The sequence below is a fragment of the Homo sapiens genome, chromosome 7 (assembly GCF_000001405.40).
Source record: "Homo sapiens chromosome 7, GRCh38.p14 Primary Assembly".
Taxonomy (NCBI): Eukaryota; Metazoa; Chordata; class Mammalia; order Primates; family Hominidae; genus Homo; species Homo sapiens.
Window position 1 is genome coordinate 27629797 of NC_000007.14, and position 19109 is coordinate 27648905.

At 38.6% G+C, this 19109-nt stretch overlaps 1 protein-coding gene and 1 long non-coding RNA gene across 6 annotated transcripts in view; one reads left to right on the forward strand and one right to left on the reverse strand.

Moving 5' to 3' along the window:
- HIBADH (3-hydroxyisobutyrate dehydrogenase) overlaps window positions 1-19109 on the reverse strand; it is a 137442-nt gene that overhangs the window by 104355 nt on the left and 13978 nt on the right. For 2 of the 4 annotated variants that reach the window (NM_001430749.1, NM_152740.4), the window contains one exon: window positions 2540-2649. In NM_001430749.1, coding sequence (NP_001417678.1) covers window positions 2540-2598 — 59 coding nt within the window. In that variant the 5' untranslated portion in view covers window positions 2599-2649. Of the gene's footprint in view, window positions 1-2539; window positions 2650-17355; window positions 17414-18751; window positions 18829-19109 lie in introns of those variants that run through there. The other 2 variants (XM_047419834.1, XM_047419835.1) reach the window with 2 other exon arrangements.
- LOC105375211 (uncharacterized) overlaps window positions 18050-19109 on the forward strand; it is a 75204-nt gene continuing 74144 nt past the window's right edge. For both annotated transcript variants that reach the window (XR_007060268.1, XR_927139.3), the window contains exon 1: window positions 18050-18134. This is a non-coding gene — a long non-coding RNA (uncharacterized LOC105375211). The remainder of the gene's footprint in view (window positions 18135-19109) is intronic.

Below are 19109 nucleotides of genomic sequence, written 5' to 3' on the forward strand. Positions count from 1 at the left end.
GCTAAGATGTAAGCAATTTAAAACACCTATTAACTTTAAAAGGGTATTAGATAGGACTTAAATTTTTGTCTGTAAAGTAGCTGGATCTTTAAAAAGTAATTTATTTGTCTTTAACAAGCCATACTGCAAATTTCATATATCCGTGTTATTTCCACAATGAAGAATAAACATAAGCAATTAAAATCTAGCCATTTGTGTTGGGATGGCATATTATTTTATAATTGTAACTTTAATGACAAAATAAAATATCAAGCAGGTAGAAAGGAAAATATATGAAAGAATCTGGAAATCTCACAGTCTTTTTGGCTTTTTAGGGTAACTTATATATATACACTATAAGGCAGTGTCTATCTTCACTAGCTAGGAAACTCTAACCTAAATTATAATTTATTTAAAGGGTATGGCTAACCTTTAATTCAAACTTTCCAAAGTTCTTTAAGACAGAGTCTCCCACCTCAGCCTCCCAAGTAGCTGCGACCACAGGTGCATGCCACCATACCCGTCTAAGTTTTAAATTTTATATTTACAGAGATGGGATCTCACCATGTTGTCCAGGCTGATCTTGAACTCCTGGGCTCAACCAATCATCCTGCCTCAGTCTCCCAAAGTGGTGGGATTACAGGTGTGAGCTACTGTGCCTGGCCAAACTTTCCAAAGTTCTTACTATAGATATACTAACCCAGAGGGCATGGAATCATGATAAGAAAATTAAAACTGAATAAATATAAATACTGAAGAAGAAAACAGAAAAATCATTGATAAAAACTATTAAAAGGAAAAATCTTTCTATTAAAAAAATAGCACACAAAATGGTTTAAACATAACCAGGCATGGTGGCTTAAGGCTGTAACCCCAGCACTCTAGGAGGCCAAGGCAGAAGGATCACTTGAGGCCACAGGTTGGAGACCAGACTAGGCAACATAGCAAGACCTCGTCTAAAATAAAAAGAAAAGAAAAATATACATATTAAAAATTGTTTAAACAACAATTTTAGACATATGAATTGTTACAATTCAAATGCAATTGTTGGGTATATTTCACAGAAGAGAAATAGCATACTCCAAGAGTATGTAGGTTTCTCTTTAGCCTAAAAGAATAAGAATTAAGTTTATCAATCTGTGATCTTAATATTTTAAGATCTTAAACCTTTCAACAAATGGAAAATCATCCCAAAAATTATACATGCACTGGGTGTATGGAAATGATCCTCACCCAGAAAAAAATAAAGAATCACCCATAAGAAGCAAATTATAGTTCAATGTAAAGTCAAACTTTTTAAAAACACTCCCTGGACCAAACTGTTCTGATAGCTAGTCACCATATTCCTTAGCAAAGGATATTAACAAATGTAGGGCTATGTCTCCTCAGAAGTTTTTAGTAACTTTTCTTTCAGAGGTAAAGCAGGACCATAACTGTAACAGGCTAGGTAACAGGACAGCTAGGATGCCTCTGGACCACACACACTGTGGCCCTGAGAGCTCCATCCAAAATGAGTGTCTTTTAACCTTCCCTGAAATCTAAACATTTATCTTATCAGTTTTCTGCCTAATATCCAAGTGTCTTTTGCTTCCTTCCAAGTTGGTTAGTTTTCCAACACAATTCAATTACCAGAAACTTCAAATTTCACATATTACAGTTTCCTGAAATTACACCCTTTCTTTTAGCCCTTCTTGTGACTACAGTGTCTACCAGTTTGCTCTAGCTCTTTGCTGAAATTCAACAACAAAATAAGTTAGGAATAGAAACAGTGACATGACAAAACTAAGCTGGGAATTCAATCACTATCATCCTAACATAACCGCAAGGGTTTGGCAATAAGCAGCAATTAACCAAAAGGTTTCTCAGAGCCAGGGAAGACAGGCACTGATTAGGAAACTGACCTAAACTGTATTTTACTTAACCCATTTATGCCTAGTGTTCCATTTATGCTAAGTTTGTGGGAGTTATTTACATCCTACTGCTCAAGCAGTACATCCTACTACTCAAGGTCATTGCCAAGGTCTGATTTTTCACAAAAAAATTTGCAACCTCTGACATAAATGGGTTAAAGAGCTACTGCTAACCTTTAATTCCAACTTCCCAAAGTTCTTACTACAAACGTACTAACCCACAGGACATAACTTTTTTTCGTATAATAAAATGTTAAACGATGGTGTTCTTTCCAATGTTTGGCTATATTTTTCATAAAACCCTTTTCCTGAATTTCTATAAGCTGTAAGAAAATTATATTATTAACAGTTGCAGTTTCAAATGTAAGCTTTAAAAGTCTCTTAAACATGTTACTAGTGAAAGGGTAAGTTTAACGCAAGAGTTAAAGGAAAGAAACGGAACCAAAAAATTTTATACACATTGTCACATACTTGACTTCAGTGAAAAAATAAGCCTTTTACAATGAGAAAACCACCACACTATTCACTTTATGAAATAAAAACAGTATAGAAAGGTTTAACAAACACAATTGTAATTTCCTAATAGTTCTAACATGTGAAATTCATGAACTATCATAACAAGAAAATATCCACAGGTGAGAAATACATACTTTAGAATCCCATTTGCTCCGGAATAAGCTTCTATTGCATTGATACTGGTGGGCAGCATTGTAATAATTCTGTCAGCTTTTTCAGCAACATCTGCTGGGGAAGATACTACCTTTAAAAAAAATTGCAAAGGCACATTATTTAAATTAAAATGTAAGCAGTTTCTAGAGCACAAACAGGATCCACTTTTCATGCATGCCTATAACAGTGACAGTGCATAAAGACTAATCCTTGTTTGCAAATGACCAAAAAAAAAAAAAAAAAAGCTTACTGCCCAAAATAAAGGCACATCATTATACATATACAGATGCAGTTTCTGTGAAATCAAATCTATCGTTTATTTTTAAAAGTGTGAAGGGAGTTGAGGGTAAAAGGGCAAAACCCAGCAGTCCTGGGAACAGACACACTTCTCATGGGTTCTTCCAAGTTGGATTCCTAAACAGCATAATCTTTGGTATACACTTTGACTAAGAAAAATATTCTAGTACAACAACGCTGGTAACTCAACTGTAGGATTCATCAGTGATTTGGTGGGCAGCAAAATCCCCTAACAAAATCTCAAGTCCCAGTCCCCACCATCCTCCAGTCTGTATTTTCAAGCAAAAAAAAAAGAAGAAAGTATCTGTTTCAGAAAAGAAAAGTCTGTTTCAGAAAAGAAAAGGTCAGGACAAGGACATAAACACTTACTACAATGACTGCAAGTACCACCAGGAAGGCTAACAGTATGAGCTACCGAAACTTACGTGGAAACTACATACAGAATAAAGATATATGAATAGGCATCAGGGCACTCTCTCAACCCTCATTTCTGCTTTAATAATGACCACGAACATACTGCAAAGGAAAATTGCGCTGTCTATCCTGTTTGCTTAGGTGCATGCATGAGTAGATGCACTGTTACTCACATCCCCCATCCCCAGCTCTCTGGCTCTTTTCCACATATTCACCTTGATAAACCTGGCCAGCCAACTGGCAACCAAAGAGGTCAGGAGAGACCAGGAGCTCCTTCCTTGACTCAAACTCTCCTTTAATAGAAAGAATCAGCTGGGCACAATGACTCACGCCTGTAATCCCAGCACTTTGGGAGGCCGGAGCAGAAGGATTGCCTGAACCCAGGAGGTGGAGACCAGTCTGGGTAACACGGTGAGACTCCATCTCTACCAAAAAATAGAAAAATTAGCTGGGTGTAGTGGGGCGCACCAGTAGTCCCAGCTCCTTGGGAGGCTAAGATGGGAGGATAACTTAAGTCCAGGCGTTGGAGGTTACGGTGAGCTATGATCGCGCCACCATACTCCAGCCTGCCTGGGCAACAGAGCGAGACCTGTCTCTTAAAAAAAAGAAAAAGAAAAGAAATCCGGCATCCCAACTGTCACAACATCTTCTGCAAAGCCTTTTTTCTCTTCATTAAAAAAAGACAAAAGACGATCAGGCAGATTATTGAGGATTTCTCTCCAGAATGAGTTACATATGTAAAAACTAACATATTTCTACATACATTATGCATGTAGAAACGTATTTCTACTAGAAAATGTGAAGGGACATGTAAGCATCTTACAAATAGGAATGCCTCTGCTTTTCATGTGGCAGAAGTTTACACATGTTCTTTTTGTATTTATGTGCATTTGATGAAAGTAAAAGAATAGGAAGCCAAACAGAGTGTGTAATCTAAATATTAAGAGCTAGAAGTAATTACATTTCAGTTTTCCACAAGAGACTATCAGCTTCTAAATCAAATTCAGGATAAATGTAGCTTTAACAAAAAGCAGTTTCATAAGTCACTCTTTAAAATTTCAGTAAATCAAGTATCCTGGCATATTGTGTATTAACAAGCTAGGAAATGATATTATAAAATATCTCAGACCCTAAAACAACAAAAAAAGATATTCTCTTTTAATGTTTCACTCTAAAGACAATACAGCATTTTATAATCTACAATGAGATACATTCAACCTGTATATTTTGATATATAATGAGGACTTGCTACAAATAATTCTAAAAATTAAAAAATTTTCCATCAAATTACAAAGAAATAAGCGCTTAAGTTGCATGAAAACCTTTCCTACACCTTCATAAATATTGAGACTCTAGAAGAGGCAACTATTTCCTGGCAAACAGTTCAAGTTTACTCAAGAAAAATAGAGCTCAGTGAAATAAGAAAAAAAAAGTTGTAGTAGTCATACTTCTCTACTCCTATACTATACCAAATATATGTTACTTAGTCCCATTTGTTCATCCTACTCTAATAAACACAATGCAAAACAATGGCATACTTTCCTTCTATTGCAGCTCCATCCTTCCAGACCTTTAAGGGACATCAGTAAGACCTGAGGTCTAAGAGTTAATTTCAACTCTCTCTTAGGAATTGAGTTCTCTCCCACTGAAAGAAATTAAATTCCATCTACATAACTCCTTTAGAGGGGCCCTGAAGGGCACCAACAATTAGCTCACAGGTCTAAGGATGTTTCACAGCTCCAAGTTTCTTAATCCCATAAACTGGCAGTGCCAATTCGGGCACTTGCCAAGTGCATGGGGTGGCCAATCAGCCCCCTGCATCCCTAGCATCTGCTTCTTGAGATGGTTGCATTGCCAGAATACTGCTAACCCCTCAATTGTATAGGAAAGTAGTATCAAAGCTCACAGGCCCGGAAGAAATACACAACAGTAGTGATAGCTGGAATGTCACCACTGTACTGGCCACAACTGCTCTATACCTAATAACACACACTCTCTCTCTTTCTCTCTCTCTCTGTGCATGTGTGTGTGTGTGTGTGTGTGTGTATTTGGTACATCCTAACAGTCTCTAATTTGTACTACAAAGGCATGTTTATCAGACAGATAAACAGACATTCAAACAATCTCACCATCCATGTGATGACTTCAAGACCCTGAAATAATTGACTGACAAAATCTGGCCACAACTCAAAAGCTGGGAGGAAAAACAAACCAACCTTGTTGCCAGTCTGACATCAACTACAAAAGCCTTTAGAAGCCAAACTAATTAGAGTCCTTCAATTACATTTGCTAATTGAATGGATAAGCAAAGACAGCATGGATCAGTGAAAGGAACACTAATTTGGGAAGCCAGAGACCCGGGTTAAGTTGCAGCTCAGCCAAGAAGTCATGGGTGATTTTGTGTAAACTATGTAACATCTCCAGCTTCAGTTTCCAAATCTATAAAATAAAAACAGTGATTTGGGTTATCTCTCAGGGTTCCTATCTCCAAAGTAAAAAGGAAACTTAGACAGATATTTTTCATATTTAGTAATCTCAAGTTCTAAGAAGGTATGGTTCCCATGAAAAGGGGCTAAGGGGACTGGAAGCATGTGCAATGATTCAGCACAATGCACAGCATTTGCAGGACTTTCACCGTGCAGGTTTTCAACACCTCCATAACTGGGGATGGTCATTGGCCTGGCTGACTCTGGGACATGGCTCTGCTCTGATTGTCAAGGCTGCCCCAGACAGATCTCCTGCTAATTCCAACGGCCTCATACTTATACTATTATGAATTAAGATAATTCTACTCTTCTATTATCTCAATTTTGACTACAGGAAATTGGTTTCTGTGTAAACCACAATATAGTCTTTAAGAATTCTTGCAGCCAATTTCTCTGAATTAGACTTTGATTTATCTGTATGCCAGTATGCATCAATGGTGGGTGTGTAATATAAAGAGCAGAGGACTGAATAAATTAAAAATCTGCTAAAATAAATTAAAAATCTGTTTAATAACAAAAAATCTGCTTTGCAGCATGAGGAGGGGGGTGAAGAGCCAAGAGTAATCTGAAGGGACTACACCCCCTTTTTACATATCCATTGGAAGAAGACAAATGTTACCTAGTTGCTTTACATGAAGAGAAAAATCTTGCTGCCTCTTCTAGATAAAACAGTCACATAAGTTAAGTTCAGCATTGCTTCCAAGTAAACCAGATGGGTAACAGAAATTTATAAAGAAACAAGAAGAATGTGATCTTGTTAAACTTGCCACTCCTGTGTTTTTTAATCTTTAACAGTACTCTTTAAAAGTACTTTTTAAATACTTTAAAAGTAGAAAAGCACAATTACTTCAAAATTAAACTACACTTGAAAAACTGACAAAAGCGCTTTGTGCCTACATCTTGAAACATTTGGTCAACAATGATGGAGCCCACTCAGCAAGAGGCTTTTAAAGCTCTCATTTAACAAGACCTGAGTGGATGCCAGATTAGATCCCAAGAGATTTACTTAAGCAAACATGTTCAGCCTTACAACTCAGGAACAACAAAATGGTTTCCAAGTTTTTAAAGAGAAAACAAAAGAAAAGAGAATCTAATTAAGCCTAGTTCAATCAGAATAAACTCACACAGAAGTGGTGCATACATCCCAGACTTTTGGCATAGATCAGCAGCATCTCCAAGGAAAATCCTAGACAATGAAAATGAAGCACAAGTCACATGTCCTTGATGCTAAGGATTAAGTTAAAAAGAAAAACCAGTATCTTCTGCAAAATAAAGGTGGGTCAGAAGGGGCAGTGCAGAGCAGACTCTTAAACAGGAATGCTGTCAAATCACTTTACCTCCTAGTTTGGTTTTAATTTGTATCTTCATTCTTTCATTTAGAAATATGTCTACATATCACTTCTTGGCCTTTTGGCTATAATCAAGAATGAAAATACATCTATTATTCTCTTTCAACATATTCTGGACTCAATAATGCAGCTGAGACAGTGGTGTTTGGGGTATGTTGGAGAATAAAGATTTTGGAGAAATATGGCATAGATACAGTAACAGCAGCAGCAGCAGTAATAGTAGTAGCAGCAGCAGTAATGGTACTTTCTATGTGCCAGGTTCTTTTGGGCTAAGAGAAAGGTACTCTTATCATCCCCATTTTATATAAGAATAAGAAATTTAAGCAGAGAAAGGTTAAGTAATCTGAAGTCACACAGCTAGCAAATGGCAGAGCTGAGATGTGAGCCCAGACAGTTTGGTTCCGGGGTTTATATTTTTAAATCACTGCATTCGCAATTTATTGATTCAAAATTTCTAAAATATTAAGATCTGATCATTATTATCAGTTACGTTTTTTAAAAAGATGCTAAAAGTTGAAATGATGCATCTGTTTCCAACAGAAACACGAATATAATAAAGGGATAAGCTATAACAAACCCACAGCCAACATCATACTGAATGGGCAAAAGGTAGAAGCACTCTTCTTGAAAACCGGAACCAGGCAAGGATGCCCTATCTCATCACTCCTATTCAACATAGTACTTAAGTCCTGGCCAGAGCAATCAGGCAAGAAATAAAAGGCATTCAAATATGAAGAGAGGAAGTCAACCTATCCCTGTGTGCAGACATGACGCTGTATCTAGAAAACCCCATAGTCTCAGCCCAAATCTCCTTAAGCTGATAAACAACTTCAGCCAAGTCCCAAGACACAAAATCAATGCGCAAAAATAACTAACATTCCTATATACCAACAACAATCAAGCCAAGAGCCCAATCAAGAACACAATCCCATTCACAATAGCCACAAAAAGAATAAAATACAGGAATACAGCTAACCAGAGAGGTGAAAGATCTCTATAACAAGAATTACAAAATACTACTCAAAGAAATCAGAGATGACACAAACATTCCATGCTCATGGATAGGAATAATCAATTTTGTTAAAATGGCCATATTGCCCAAAGCAATTTATAGATTCAGGGCTATTCCTATCAAACTACCAATGACATTCTTCACAGAATTAGAAAAAAACTATTTTAAAATTTATATGGAACCAAAAAAGGAGCTCAAATAGTCAAGGCACTCCTAAGCAAAAAGAACAAAGCTGGAGGCATCATGTTACCCAACTTCAAACTCAAACTTTTCTATAGGGCTACAGTAACCAAAATAGCATGGTACTGGAACAAAACAGGCACACAGACCAATGGGACAGAATAAAGTACAGAAACAATGCTGCACACCTATACCCATCTGATCTTTGGCAAAGTCAAAAAAAAAAAAAAAAAAAAAACAAGCAATAAGGAAAGGACTCCCTATTCAATAAATGGTGCTGGAATAACTGGCTAGCCATATGCAAAAAACTGAAACTGGAACCCTCCTTATACCATACTCAAAATTCAACTCAAGGTGGATTAAAGACTTAAATGTAAAACCTAAAGCTATAAAAACCTGGAAGATAACCTAGGAAATACTGTTTCTAGACATAGGACCTGGAAAAGATTTCAAGACAAAGATATCAAAAGCAACTGCAACAAAAACAAAAATTGACAAATGAGACCTAATTAAACTAAACAGCTTCTGCACAGCAAAAGAAACTATCAACAAAAAATAAACAGACAACCTACCTAATGGGAGAAAATGTTTGCAAACTATGCATCCCACAAAGGTCTACTACTCAGAATCTATAGGGAACTTAAATCAACAAGCAAAAACCAAACAACTGCATTAAAGAGTAGGCAAAGGACATGAACAGACACTTTTCAAAAAAAGACATACACACAGTCAACAAACATGAAAAAATGCTGAACATCACTAATCATTAGTGAAATGCAAATCAAAACCACAATGAGATACAATATCACACCACTCAGAATGGCTGTTATTAAAAAGTCAAAAAATAAGAGATGCTGGCAAGGTTGCAGAGAAAAAGGAACATTTATACACCGCTGGTGGGAATGCAAATTAGATGAGTTACTGTGGAAGCAGTGTGGTGATTCCTCAAAGAACTCAAAGCAGAATTACCATTCAACCCAGCAATCCCATTATTGGGTACATACCCAAAGGAATATAAACAGTTCACCATAAAGACACATGCACCCGTATGTTCATCATAGCACTATTCACAATAGCAAAGACATGGAACCAACCTAAATGCCCATCAATGGTAGACTGAATAAAGAAAATGTGGTACATATACACCATGAAATACTATGCAGCCATAAAAAAGAATGAGATCATGGCCTTTACAGCAACATGGATAGAGCTGGAGGCCATTATCCTAAGCAAACTAATCCAGGGAAAGAAACCAAATACCACACATTCTCACTTATAAGTGGGAGCAAAACACTGAGTACACACAGACACAAAGAAAGGAACAACAGACACTTGAGACTACCTGAGGGGGGAGGGAGGGACAGAGGGTGAGGATCAAAAAACTACCTGCCAGGTACCGTGCTTATTACCTGGGTGGCAAAATAATCTGTACACCAAACTCCTGTGACATGCAATTTACCTATATAACAAACCTGCACAATTACCTCCGAACCTAAAAGTTAAAAAACATCAACTGCAAGCTTCCTGTGGGCCTTGGAGGCTGCCCTACAAACACACTCATTTTCTGAGTCCATCATTCTGCCCAACTTATTTTAATAAATGCTTATATAATAAAAACTTCCCTCTGATTTTGTTTTTAAATTAAAAAAAATAAAGGGATACGGAAACGTCCACATATTTTATGAAAATGACCACAAATAACAAGTTCAACCAATTATAAATGCCTTATCAGAATAGGTTAACACTTAAAGGCATAAACAAGCTATTAAGTAGTCCTGTAAAACATATTAAACTTATCAAAGTTTTTATTTCCCTAATAATCCACGTACAGTCAAGCAAAAGAGATACGTTCTGAGAAATGCGTTGTGAGAAAAGAAAAATAACTTGAAGTAGTCTGAACTATGTGAGGTTTGCAAAATTTATCAGGCCCAGAGAGACGTAAGCATAGGACTTTGGTCACCGCCACCCTCCGTGCCCAGTGGCAATTGCTTAAAGGCATTTTTGTTCCTGACTAGCTGCCTCCCTTATTATTGTCATATTCCTGGAATTTGGAATACAAAGAACAATGTACAGTCAATTAATAATTTATGTTAATGTAAACTCTTGTTAAACAACTTAGGAACTGCCTCTTCTTTTTTCCTTAAAAACCCACCTGGGGCCAGGTGCAATGGCTCACACCTGTAATCCCAACACTTTGGGAGGCCAAGGTGGGCTGATCACTTGAGCCCAGGAGTTCAAGCCCAGCCTGGGCAACAAAGCAAAACCCTGTCTCTACAAAAATACAAAAATTGGCTGGGCATGGTGGTGCACACCTGTGGTCCCAACTACTTGGGAGGCAGGGGCGGGAGGATCACTTGAGTCTGGGAGGTTGAGGCTGCAGTGAGCCATGATCCCGCCACTGCATTCCAGCCTGGGTGACAGAGAGAGACCCTGTCTCAAAAGAAATGAACAAACAAAATCACTTGTAACATCTGCTAATCGTATATATTCAAGGCAACTTGAATTTATGCTTCCAGGTGGCCATTTTCCACCTTTTGGGCCTGAATAAACTCTATACCTAATCACAGTTTCTGAATCATTATTTTAATAAGGTTGACAGTTGTTAGGCTATTTCATGTTGCACGAACATCAGAGAGAGCACTTACAGACCTTCATGGTGTAGTGTATTTCTTCTAGGCTACAAACCTGTACAGCAACGTTAATGTACTGAATACTGTAGGCAACTGTAACATAATGTAAGAATTTGTACATTTAATGATCTATACATACAAAAGGTACAGTAAAAATACTCTATTATAATCCTATGGGACCACCTTTATGTATGCAGTCCATGACCAAAACATCCTTATGAGGTGCATGACTACGGTTTTACTAAAGCTTGAAGAAAAGCCTCCAGGGTCATAATATTCTAAAATACTTCTTCACCTGGAACGGCAGGTGGCCATCTTGCACCTTGAAGGGAGAGAGGAGCCTGATGGAGAAAAGCAGACTCCAGAAGCAAAGAGAAAAGAAAAGAATCTGGCTGTATCTATGTCACTAAATTCAGCTCTGCCAGAGGTCAGGCCACTCCCCAACTCTTCCAATACATGAAACAATAAATTCTCAGTTTTTGCTTTCAAAAAAAACAAAAGCACTTCTTCAAAACAACATCTGATTTTCTTCCCTGCAAATCTCTCACTGAAAGAACAGCTGACATTAGAAATCAACTAACCAGCATTTCTGCAATCTTGGTGGGGTGTTGGGGGATGGGCTTGTTTTCTTTGGCTCTCACTTCATCAGCTTGACTTGATATAGTAACACAGAGGGAGGAAATGGACACCCGTCCTTAAAAATGTATGAGTCAACTCAAATATACGCTGAATTTTTTAACCTTTAAACCCACCCTTCAGGGCACTATTGTGGCAAAAAGTTTCAGAGTTTCACACATACTTTTCCATCTCATCCCAAGTCGTGTCTTGGCCTTATGGTAATAGAATGAAATTCATTTTTTCTTTTATCCAACATTTTAAAAAACTAAACATAGCTATGAAATAAGAATGTTGACATTTTAATATATCAGAACGTATTCATCCAAATTAATATTACCTTTTAAAGTAGTGCTCTTAGGAAATCACACTTGTTCTGATGACATGGCCACTGTTCAAAACACTCTCTAAGCTGCCAACGTAAATCATTTATCAACAAATGCTTTCATTTTCTGTTGCCCTCAGGACCAAAGCTTTTTCACCCTTTACCTTTCTCACTTCATTCATCTGAATTTCACATTGTCCCACCTTCCACTGCTGTTAAAATCAATACTCAGAGGACCTCTTAGAGTCAAGATGCTTAAGAGAATGAGAGATGTGAGGAAGAGAGGCAAGAAGATTCTGTCTTCCAGGCTTCCTGCCTCAGGGTGAACCACACACAGAATTTTCCCCACTGTGTATTGGGGGAGGAGTGGCAACTGTGCACAAGAAGCTAAGTCTTCGCTATTATTCACTAATCTGGGAGGAGCACCGACCCAGAACCCACCTTCTTTCCTTCTTCACACCCAGTGACATATTGCAAGGAAGAAGAAAAAGGAAAACCCAGTAACTGAGTCTGTGTCCTGGAACCCTCAAATTTTTATGCAGGAATCTTGGAGACCTTGTCCTTCATGATTTCATTTTACAATCTTTGTTGGGTGAGTAAAGATTACATGCAATCTTCCTGTAATTCCCTATCAGAAATGAAATGATCCTTAAGAGTTGCTTATTTTTTTCTTCCTCAAAAATTGCCTTAGCACTTAATTATAGTAAAATTACAATAGAAACTTCCTTGCAGTATTAGTTGGTCTTGCCACCTAAGACATATCCAACACCTCGTCACATCCAACTCAACCTGTTTTATTTCCCAACAGCATTAGGTAAACTACTAGACATTTGGTAGTTACTCAAGCTATCTCTGTTGACCTAAAGTAAAAGTCTTCAGCAAAGACTGAGGCTCCACTTTTTGAGGAAACTGCTCCTTTGTCCTCATTCTTAATCTGGATAAATCCTACTTATTCTTTCGCTGTCTGCCTAAATGTCTAGTTTTTTTTTTTTTTTTTTTTTTTTTTTGAGACGGAGTCTCGCTCTGTCGCCCAGGCTGGAGTGCAGTGGCGGGATCTCGGCTCACTGCAAGCTCCGCCTCCCGGGTTCACGCCATTCTCCTGCCTCAGCCTCCCAAGTAGCTGGGACTACAGGCGCCCGCCATTACGCCCGGCTAATTTTTTGTATTTTTAGTAGAGACGGGGTTTCACCGTTTTAGCCGGGATGGTCTCGATCTCCTGACCTCGTGATCCGCCCACCTCGGCCTCCCAAAGTGCTGGGATTACAGGCGTGAGCCACCGCGCCCGGCCAAATGTCTAGTCTTTAGAGAGAATTCCCCTAACCACCCTCTCACCTAATGTAACACATATTTTACTAAAAACTAATGTGACCTTTTACTTTTTCTTTAGACTTATCACAATTTGGAATCACATATTTGTGTAATTTGATAATCTAACACCACCTATTGGTCCCTAAAGGCACAGACTGTGACTGTCTTGTTCTGAGCTATATTCCCAGTGCCTGGCACATAGAAAGTTCTCGAGAAACATCTGTTACATTAGTGACTTAATGAAGGTCCTATCCCATTTTGCTAAGGTAGTCTACAGTAGCCTTAACCCATAGTGATTAGAGCAATAAAAAGTAACTTTTCTTCACAAAAAAGGAGAGAATATCTGATACTACCTGTTGAATGGACAGCATGAGAAGAGGAACAGCTGTGTACAGCAGAGGTGAAACTAAGGCACACAGAAACTAATTTATAGTTAACATTAACATACAGTGATTAATATGTGCCAAATGCTACTTTAAGCTCCATGCATAATTAACTCACTTAATCCCTATAACAAGTCTATGAAAACAGTATGATTATCCTTCATACATGTGGAAACAAGCGTATAGAGACACTGAAAAACTTGCCCAAGATTGCACAGATACTAAGTGGTATAGAAAGATTCAAAACCTACACATTTTGTAGATTCCCAATGTTTGCTACATTAGTTTTCCACAGCTGCTGCAACAAGTTACCACAAGCACCGTCGCTTAAAACAACAGAAATTTACTCTCTCACAGCTCTGGAGGCCAGAAGTCTGAAATCAAGGTGTCAAGAGAGACACACTCCCCACAAAGGCTCAAAGGGAGGATCTGTCTTTGCCTTTTCCAGCTTCTGATGGCTCCTGATATTTTCTGGCTGGCAGCAGCATAACTCTAATGTCTGCCTCCATCTTCATATGGCCTTCCCCTCTGTGTCTCTGTGTCTTCTTTTCTGTCTCTGGTAAGGACACTTGTCATTAGCTTTAGGGTCCACCCTAAATCCACGATGATCTCATCTTAACTTTAGATCGTCAAAGACCCTGTTTCCAAAAAGCTCACATTCACAGGTACTAGGAGTTAGAACTTGAATATATCTTTTTTAATAGCTTCACTGACATATAATTCGCATACAATTCACCCATTTAAAGTATACCAAAGGCCCTGTTAACATATTCACAGATATATGCAACCATGATGACAATCAATTTTAGAATCTTTTCAAGAAGAAACCTGGCCAGGCATGGTGGCTCACGCCTGTAATCCCAGCACTTTGGGAGGCCGAGGTGGGCAGATCACGAGGTCAAGAGATCGAGACCATCCTGGCCAACATGGTGAAACCCCGTCTCTACTAAAAATACAAAAAATTGGCCGGGCACGGTGGCTCACACCTATAATCTCAGCACTTTGGGAGGCCAAGGCGGGTGGATCACCTGAGGTCAGGAGTTCGAGACCAGTCTAGCCAGTATGGTGAAACCCCATCTCTACTAAAAATACAAAAATTAGACAGGCGTGGTGACATGTGCCTGTAATCCCAGCTACTCAGGAGTCTGAGACAGGAGAATTGCTTGAACCTGGGAGGCGGAGGTTGCAGTGAGCCAAGATTGCGCCACTGCACTCCAGCCTGAGCGACAGAGCAAGACTCCATCTCAAAAAAAAAAAAAAAATTAGCTGGGCGTGGTGGCGCGTGCCTGTAGTCACAGCTACTCGGGAGGCTGAGGCAGAAGAATCACTCGAACCCAGGAGGTGGAGGTTGCAGTAGGCCAAGATCGCACCACTGCACTCCAGCCTGGTGACAGAGTGAGACTCCATTTAAAAAAAAAAAAAAAATCAGAAATCTTATACGCATTAGCTATCATTCCTCTATGCCCAACTTTCCCTCTTCCCCAGCGCTAAGCAACCACTGATCTACTTTGTGTCTCTATATAGACTTCCTTATTCTGGACTTTCAGGAAAAGTCTATAGTATGTGGTTTTTTGTGACTGGCTTCCTTCACGCAGCATGCTTTCAAGGTTTATCAATGTTGCAGCAAATATTAGTACTTCATTTCTTTTTATTACTGAATAATCATCATTGTATGGATATAACACATTTTGTTTGGACATTCTATCCGCTGATAGATTTTTGCGTTGTTTCCACTTTTTCGTGATGATGAATAATGTTGCTAAATACATGTTTCCGTGTGGATACAAATTTTTTATTTCTCTTGGGTATATAGCTAGGTGTGAAATTGCTGGGTCATGGCATAATTCTAAACTTTTAATTATTTGAGGAACTCCCAAACTCTTTCCCAAAGTGGCTGTACCATTTTACATTTCCACTAGCAGTGTATGAGGGCTCCAACTTTTCTACAACCTCACAAACACATTGTTATCTAACTTTTTAATCTAGATTCTAGTGGGTGTGTCTCATGGTTTTGATTTTTTTTTTTTTTTTTTTTTTTTTTTGAGACAGAGTCTTACTCTGTCGCCCAGGCTGGAGTGCAGTGGTGGCAATCTCGGCTCACTGCAACCTCCACCTCCTGGGTTCAAGCAATTCTCCCACCTCAGCCTCCTGAGTAGCTGGTATTACAGGTGCACACCACCACACTTGGCTAATTTTTTTTGCATTTTTAGTAAAGACAGGGTTTCACCATGTTGGCCAGGCTGGTCTTGAACTCCTGACCTCAAGTGATCCACCTGCCTCGGCCTCCCAAACTGTTGGGATTACAGGCATAAGCCACCTCACCCGGCTGTTCTGACTATGTTTCTACGATGCCTAATGATGTTGAGCATCTTTTCACATGTTTACTGGGTCATTCATATATCTTCCTGGGAGAAATGTCTATTAAAATCCTTTGCCCATTTAATTGAGTTACTTGTCTTATGCTGGCGTTGTAAGACTTCTTCATATATTCTAGATACAAATTCCTTATCAGATATATGATTTGCAAATATTTTATCCCATTCTGTGAATTGTTTTTCACTTTATTGATGGTGTTCTCTGGAGCACAAGTTTTTAATTTTGATAAAGTCCAATTTACCTATTTATCATTTTGTTGCTCATGCTCTTGGTGTCATATCTAAGAATCCTTCGCCAAATCCAAAGTCATAAAGATTTACCTCTGTGTTTTCTCCTAACAATTTTATAGGACATCTTTGGGGGTTGGGGAGGTGGGCCACTATTCAACCCACTAAACAACCCATACAATAGATAAATATTATTAAATTGTAACTCCGTGGGTACAGAACCACACAAGAGAAGGCAAGGGAGACCAATGATCAGTGGCTTGACTGATCTAGGCACCTTATTTTCCAGCAATCTAGTTTATAAATAGGTTAACAGGTAGCTACATTTCAGAATCATCAACACAGATGTCACATACACACACTCAAAAATGTCTTTCACATTAATTTCAAAAAGAACCAAAACTCCGAAGTCAAAGACCTTTGTTTAGACATTGGCTCTTGCTATTCATTCACTACACAGTGGTAACCCCTCCTCTGAGAGGTATACATTCCAAGACTCCCAGTGGATGCCTGAAACCACAGACAGTACCAAATCCTATACAGACTATGTTATATAAACATATAGACTATGTTTTCTGGTTTGTTTTTTTTTCTTTTTAAGGCAAGGTCTCACTCCATCACCCAGGCTGGAGCACACAGCTCACTGCAGCCTCAACCTCCTAGGCTCAAGTAATCCTCCCACCTCAGCCTCCCAAGTAGCTGGGACTACAGGCACACACAACCACGCCCAGCATTTTTTTTTTTTTTTTTTTTTTTTGAGACAGAGTCTCCCTCTGTCATCCAGGCTGGACTGCAGTGGTGCAATCTCGGCTTATTGCAACCTCCGCCTCCTGGACTCAAGCGATTCTCATGTCTCAGCCTCCCAAGTAGCTGAAACCACAGACACACGCCACCGCGCCTGGCTAATTTTTGTATTTTTAGTAGAGCCGGGGTTTCGCCACATTGGCCAGGCTGGTCTTGAACTCCTGGCCTCAGGTGATCCGCCTGCCTTGGCCTCCCAAAATGCTGGGATTATAGGCACAAGACACTGCGCCCAGCCAGTTTTTCTTTATATATACACTCCTATGATAAAGTTTAATTTATAAATTAGTCACAGTAAGAAATTAACAACAACAATAAAATAGAACAATTATAACAATATGCGAGCAACACTACTCTTGCGCTTTGGACCATTATGAAATAAAATAAGGGTTACCTGAAAATAAGCACGCGATATCACAACACCCGATCACTGAGGCGGCTAGTAAGTGACTAATGGGCCAGGGAGTGTCTGCAGCATGGAGACGCTGGACAAAGGGATGATTCACATCCAGGTTGGGACAGAGCTGGACAGCACAAGATTTCATCATGCTACTCAGAACGGCATGCAATTTAAAACTTATAAATTGTTTATTTCTTGAATTTTGTACTTAACATTTTCAGACCACATTTGACCATAGGTAACTGAAATCGTAGAAAGTGAAACTGCAGATAATAAGAACCACTATATAACATTAGGGATATTATTTAGCTTCTCCAAGCATTGGCTTCTTGATAGCACTTCTGTTGCAAAGATAAAATGAGATAATACATACAAAATATTTAGCAAAAGACCTGACACATAGTAGGTGCTCACTAAATACTGTATTAGATTCTTTTCTCTCCCTTTCAAAACATAAATATCTCCTTCATGCAGGGATAAGCCTTATTCTTAAGGCAGCCTTCCTTCATACCTACCTAAAATTAGCAACACTAAAGAAATAAGAAACTTGTTGGGAAACAGAGGTAAGCCTGGTAACTTCAGAGTATGAGGTAATTCAGGCAGAGCATCAGAAAGCTCTAGAATTCTGGGAAAAAGCAGGAGAGAGTCACAAAGCAGTGATGATCATTACAGTCGTTCCACATACAAGCTGGAAGTACTACAGGCATAGAGGGAAGAGTACCTGTGTCTGTAACAACGTAAAAGGTCACAAGCTTCTGCTTTGCCAGTCTAGGGTAATAGTCCCCATTCAATTCCTACCCCACTCTTTGGTTAAATTCTGTTTTTAATTGAAGATATTTCCTCTGTTTAGAGATCAAGTACCCTTGTTACTCTTACTAACAGATAAACCACTGTAAAATGGCAATACCAAATAGATGTGTTATCCCAAAAAGTAATAACTGTCTCCTCAAAATAACTACTAATTGGTTCATCTCAGACTGAATATCAACTTGAAATGCTCACCATCTCTGAAGATGGTAAAAGGCCGCCTTTCCCAGATTCTCTACTATACGACTGATCAAATCTCTCCAACAAGGCTACTAAGTCCCTACATTAATTAAGCCTGTAAGCCTGCTATACTGGGAGTGTAATATCCGTATTCAGAGACTGAACAGGCAGAAGCAGCCACAACACTACCCTGAAAAGTTCCAAAGTCATACTTCCATCCTCACACTATACTGCTGCAATTTCCATATGGCACAAAAACCATGGAAAGGAAAAAGATTCAGATATATAGTTCTGAAAATGGCTTCTAAGTTACCTAAAGCTGTTCTGTAACTAGGTATAGCATTTTTCAGTATTTACTTTCAAGTCTATTATCTAGAAGCTGGCTGTGTAATTTTTTTCTCACCTTTTTCTCAGGAATTTTTTAGTATTCTCTGTTCTGGGATCACACACTATCCTCAGTTACCACTCTACAACTTGACCAAGAAGAATTTCCCTCATATCTAGAAAAAACAAACTATATTCGGATACTGATACATGGTCTCCTGTAATTTGAGTTATTGATAAAGTTTAACAAATCCAAACAACTCAAGACTTAACCAGCAGATGTTATCATCCAACATGATAAACTCTGGTACCAAAATTCTTTAAACATGAATGATAGCCTAAAAACACTAGAGATCCACTATAACTCAACTCTTCATTATAGGACATAGTGTTTTTAGGCTGTCTCCTGGTTTATGGCCAATAACTAATAATTATTC